The 6000-nt window shown below is 42.2% G+C and overlaps 1 protein-coding gene across 9 annotated transcripts in view; it reads left to right on the top strand.

Annotated features, from left to right (window-relative positions):
* RGMB (repulsive guidance molecule BMP co-receptor b) overlaps positions 1-3899 on the top strand; it is a 27863-nt gene extending 23964 nt beyond the window's left edge. For all 9 annotated transcript variants that reach the window (NM_001366510.1, NM_001366509.1, XM_047417124.1 and 6 more), the window contains one exon: positions 490-3899. In NM_001366510.1, coding sequence (NP_001353439.1) covers positions 490-1158 — 669 coding nt within the window. In that variant the 3' untranslated portion in view covers positions 1159-3899. The remainder of the gene's footprint in view (positions 1-489) is intronic.
* The last annotated feature ends 2101 nt before the right edge of the window (positions 3900-6000 follow it).

Genomic DNA, 6000 nt, shown 5'->3' on the forward strand with positions numbered 1-6000 from the left:
ACCCCCTCACTTCAAAGTTTTTTAAATCAGCCACGCATGGTGGTATATGCCCTTAGTCCTGTGTACTCAGGAGGCTGAAGTGGGAAAGTCCTTTGAGCCCAGGAGTTGAACGTTGCAGTGAGCTATGAATGTGCCACCGCACTCTAGCCTGGGCAAGAGAGCTGACCCTGTCACTTAAAAAAAAAAAAAAAAAAAAACCGATATTCTGATAGCAACACTGCTCACTTGCTCACTCTTTCTCTTAGGAAAGTAAAAAAGTTTTGTCTTGATGCACAGATTTATTTAAACTTTAGTTCTAAATATATAGGACTTTAAAAAATATTTTCTGAAAGTGATATCCATTTTTGAGGTGCAAGCAGTTGGGTCCATTTTGGAGATTCCGCCTTAAGCCATTCAGCTTCAAAATGGCGGGGAGCTCTTGCTACAGAGGGTTACCCCGTTCTGCTTCCTTCCCATTCTGTTAAACCTTGTACATGCTCCTTCCCACAGATCACTATTATCTTCAAAGCCCACCATGAGTGTACAGATCAGAAAGTCTACCAAGCTGTGACAGATGACCTGCCGGCCGCCTTTGTGGATGGCACCACCAGTGGTGGGGACAGCGATGCCAAGAGCCTGCGTATCGTGGAAAGGGAGAGTGGCCACTATGTGGAGATGCACGCCCGCTATATAGGGACCACAGTGTTTGTGCGGCAGGTGGGTCGCTACCTGACCCTTGCCATCCGTATGCCTGAAGACCTGGCCATGTCCTACGAGGAGAGCCAGGACCTGCAGCTGTGCGTGAACGGCTGCCCCCTGAGTGAACGCATCGATGACGGGCAGGGCCAGGTGTCTGCCATCCTGGGACACAGCCTGCCTCGCACCTCCTTGGTGCAGGCCTGGCCTGGCTACACACTGGAGACTGCCAACACTCAATGCCATGAGAAGATGCCAGTGAAGGACATCTATTTCCAGTCCTGTGTCTTCGACCTGCTCACCACTGGTGATGCCAACTTTACTGCCGCAGCCCACAGTGCCTTGGAGGATGTGGAGGCCCTGCACCCAAGGAAGGAACGCTGGCACATTTTCCCCAGCAGTGGCAATGGGACTCCCCGTGGAGGCAGTGATTTGTCTGTCAGTCTAGGACTCACCTGCTTGATCCTTATCGTGTTTTTGTAGGGGTTGTCTTTTGTTTTGGTTTTTTATTTTTTGTCTATAACAAAATTTTAAAATATATATTGTCATAATATATTGAGTAAAAGAGTATATATGTATATACCATGTATATGACAGGATGTTTGTCCTGGGACACCCACCAGATTGTACATACTGTGTTTGGCTGTTTTCACATATGTTGGATGTAGTGTTCTTTGATTGTATCAATTTTGTTTTGCAGTTCTGTGAAATGTTTTATAATGTCCCTGCCCAGGGACCTGTTAGAAAGCACTTTATTTTTTATATATTAAATATTTATGTGTGTGCTTGGTTGATATGTATAGTACATATACACAGACATCCATATGCAGCGTTTCCTTTGAAGGTGACCAGTTGTTTGTAGCTATTCTTGGCTGTACCTTCCTGCCCTTTCCCATTGCTACTGATTTGCCACGGTGTGCAGCTTTTACTCGCCACCTTCCGGTGGAGCTGCCTCGTTCCTTTGAACTATGCCCTCACCCTTCTGCCCTCACTTGATTTGAAAGGGTCGTTAACTCTCCCTTACAGGTGCTTTGACTCTTAAACGCTGATCTTAAGAAGCTCTCTTCATCTAAGAGCTGTTACTTTTTCAGAAGGGGGGGTATTATTGGTATTCTGATTACTCTCAATTCTAATTGTTATATATTTGAGCCCATACAGTGTATTAGGTTGAACCATAGAAACTGCTATTCTCGTAGGTCAAAAGGGTCTAGTGATGGAAGTTTTGTAGATAAGTACCAGGCATCTCAGTAACTCCTAGACTTTTTCTCATCCCATGCCCCGTTTTAAATTGTCAGTTTTCCCTCTGACTCTTCTGTGTTAAAACATGAAACTATAAATTTAGTAATTATCATGCCTTGCTCTTTTTAATCTATATGACTGATGCAAGCCCCTCTTCTTAACCGTTTCTTGGCTTTGAGCCCAGAAACACAGCTCTCCCTGTCTCCAACTCCAGTAAGCCCTCCTCAGCCTCACCTTACGAATCCAAAGAACTGGGGTTTGTTAGGTTCTTTCTCTAATGTAGAGGCCCAGATCCCATCACAAAGTTTTTCATTCTTCCTTGTCCACCATGATCTTCATCACAGTCTTTGATATGTCTGCATGCAAAGTGGAACAGAGTTGGGCGGCAATGACAGAAGAGCTTCCTTGGCCTGACTCGGTGTGCGGCCACTTCGGCACTGCTTAATCCAGATATTCTTGTTAACTAAGCATTGTGCTTCCCAGGTGGTCTGAAGTCAGGTACTCTCTCTCTCAACACCTGTAGTTGAATATGATTTGGTCAGTTGCTCGTTGTAACTTGGAGAAATTCCTATAAAGTAAGATCTCCTTGCCTCTTCCATCCATTGTTGGCACCCCCTTGCAAAAGGAAAAGAACAGCAAAAGTCAGGAGCAGTAATCTGAGAAAGTTAACTCCAGGATAGGTAGGTTTCTATTGTTATAGCTAGATGTAAATCTTTAGTTCCAAGAAGTGATAGAGTTTCTGCTTTAATAATTTGTTGATAAGTTTACATAAACAGAAATAAAAGATACTATCTTTACCGTAGTAGTTCAGGCCAAGATTATGCTTAGTTTTAGTTCTCCAGGTAGTTACTTTTGCCATGTCCTATTGATCAGTGACACTGCCAGAGGCCCATACCGGCAAGAGGAAGAGGACGTCATTTTGTAAAGTTTAACTTCTTAGCGAACTGATGTGCCACCCAGTCACAGAGTGGAGTTGTGAATTCATGTAGAGGTGGCAAACCTCTACCTTGTGTTGATGAGAGAATAATCTTGGGCAGTCTGGGAAAATAAGGAAGGCATCTCCTTCTTACTCATGGAGATTCAACTATAGAGAGTTGAAACCTAAACCCGCCTTCCTTTTATAGAAGCTGGACTAGAGACGGACTGACCATCAGCTCTGAACTGTGGCTTTTTTTGTTCACCTATGATGCCATGTACCAAATTCAGAAGCTATCGTTAATAATTTGTTTTATAATTGAGTAGTACAAGCGAGGAAAAAATACGGAGGATAACCACTATTTTTGTGCAAATAATATGAAAGTGAAGTAAAAGCAATAGAAGAAATTTCTATAGGATCTGGGTTTAGAGTGTGTATCATTAATAAATATACCTTTGCTCTTTTCAGGGAAAATAACAACCACCCTTACTGATAGTTGGGAAAAGAAGATTGGGTTATTTTGCCATATCATTTAGCTGGAAGTGACATTTAAAAGCACCCTGCATCACTAGTAATAGTGTATTTTGCTATTCTGCCCTTGTAATCGGTGTCCCTGTAAAACAATCCCCACAGATTACTTTCAGAAATAGATGTATTTCTCTACGTAAGGGCCAGGTTTATTTTCTCCTTTTTTGAGATTTCTAGAAAAAATGCTGCTTGCACATGTTGGTTCTTGAAACCTTAGCTAGAAGAATTTCAGGTCATACCAACATGTGGATAGGCTATAGCTGTTCAGAGGTCTCCTGGGGGAGCTTAAAACGGGGGAAACACTGGTTTTCACAGATGCTCCACATGGCTGTCTTTAAAAGACTCAAAACTTTTTTTTGTCCTCTTTGTTATGCTTGGAAGCTCCCCCCCCCCCAACAGTGTGTCGAGTCTTTGCAAAGAAACCTTTAGATGTGGTTCATAGATATATGAATACGTATCTGTGTAAAACAGTGAGTGTGCAGTGTGTAAATACTTTAAATTATTATGCTAGAAAAATAAAGTTACATACCTTGCTGTGGAATGTCTGTTCTGTGATTATAGGGACACCTGCTGGAAGAACTGAGAGCTGCAGAAGAAAGGGAGTCGGGGGAGGGGGAATTGTATAAAATCCCTAAAGGTTACTGATAAGTCATGCCACCTGCCCACAAATTCGCTGATTTTCAAAACTATAGCATTACTGTCATTTTTTTTCTTTTGAAATTTTAAGCAGTTACAAATCCGTATCAGTGAGATTGGTCCACTAGTATTGTCCCAAAGTTCTGTCTTTAGTAACAGTTTTGGTCCCTTGAAGACATACAGCCTGCACTCTAGTTCTTTTTAAGGTGATGTGAACAGTAACGACTTCCTCCTGGTGGGGAGGATTTGGGAAGGCAGGATTTTCTGGCTTTGAAAACAAATCCTCACTTCTTGGGTTTTAAAAAGAGACATCAAGAGATCACAAGTTGGTCTTTGTTCAAGAAACACACCAAAGGGTAGAAAAGTTAGGAAAATAACTGAAACAAAAGGCACAGAGAAGCACTGTTACTTGTATTAGGTAGAATACTAAATGGATCAGATTCTGACTGGGATAAACATACATGTAATCATTTCTTCTTTTTTTTTTTTTTTCTTTTGGAGACAGGGTCTCACTCTGTCACCCAGGCCAGAGTGCAGTGGTGCAGTCTCAGCTCACTACAGCCTCAACTTCCAGGGTTCAAGTGATCCCCCCGAGTCGCTGGGGCTACAAGTGCATGCTACCATCCCCAGCTAATTTTTGTATTTTTTGTAGAGACTGAAGGCAGGGTTTCACCATGTTGCCCAGGCTGGTCTCAGACTCCTGGACTCAAGCAATCCGCCTGCTTCAGCCTCCCAAAGTGCTGGGATTACAGGCATGAGCCACCACACCTGGCCATAATCGTTTCTTAAAGAAAAAAGCTTAACCATTGCAGTTGACTATTTACATGTAGCAGTTCAGAGCAAAAAAAAAAAAAAAAAGACAATCATATCAGCTGAACCACATAAAATAGGATGAAATGACATAGTCACTGAGTACCCAGTGATGTGTCTGTGCTGAAAGAATGCAGATAATCTATAGCAGAACGAAATGTGCTATAGACTATTTGACTTTTATGCTTAAAGTCAAAAATAATTCTTTACCATTCTGTCTTCATTCCCAGAACTCCAGCTCTTTGGGGACTGAAACGTCAACTCCAAAATCCCAACAGCGACATCAACCCTAAGAGTCCTGTTATCTGATTTATTTTTTATCTTGTTTATTTTTAATTTTGTAGCATTGGCAGTATTCTATTGTCTGGAACTAGCTGGGATAACAGTCTTGGATTGCTGCTGTCCTTTCTGAGCAAAGATACCTTGCTGCAGATTTTCTCCCTGTTCTATTTGTATGTGAACCAATGTCTCCCCCACAGAGAAAGTAATCAGGATGTTCAAGGAGCAGTTTCAAAGTTCTTTATTATTTCACTACCTAACCATATTGTTACCTAAACCTAAACCATATTGTTTCTTTCTGCTTCTATCCCTTTTCTGTATGTCTTCCAAATGGACAAGTCACATGAAAGCAATTGTTATTATTTAGATGGTATTTTCCTTTAAATTTACTGCTCTTTGGCTGGGCACAGTGGCTCATGCCTGTAAACCCAGCAATTTGGAAGGTCGAGGCGGGCAGATCACTTGAGGTCAGGAGTTCGAGACCAGCCTGGCCAACATGGTGAAACTACCATCTCTACTAAAAATACAAAAATTAGCTAGGTGTGGCGGCGAATACGTGTAATCCCAGCTACACGGGAGGCTGAGGCAGAAGAATCGCTTGAACCCAGGAGGCAGAGGTTGCAATGAGCTGAGATCATGCCACTGCACTCTAGTCTGGGGTGACAGAGCGAGACTTAAAAAAAAAAAAAATTCTGCTCTTCTTCCCCCAGGTACCTCTAATAAGCATGCCATTTGATACTATCAACTAAATAATAGAATATGCTGTCCTTTGTACCCAAAAGGTTATGTCATGGCTCCCTGACGGTGAAATATGTGTGAAATCCAACCAACACCCAGCAGGATACACTAACAAACATTCTACAAAGCCAGAATGGATGCCCTCACCCTCCTTGGAATGATGTTAAACCAATTGAGTA

The sequence above is a fragment of the Homo sapiens genome, chromosome 5, assembly GCF_000001405.40.
Source record: "Homo sapiens chromosome 5, GRCh38.p14 Primary Assembly".
NCBI lineage: Eukaryota > Metazoa > Chordata > Mammalia > Primates > Hominidae > Homo > Homo sapiens.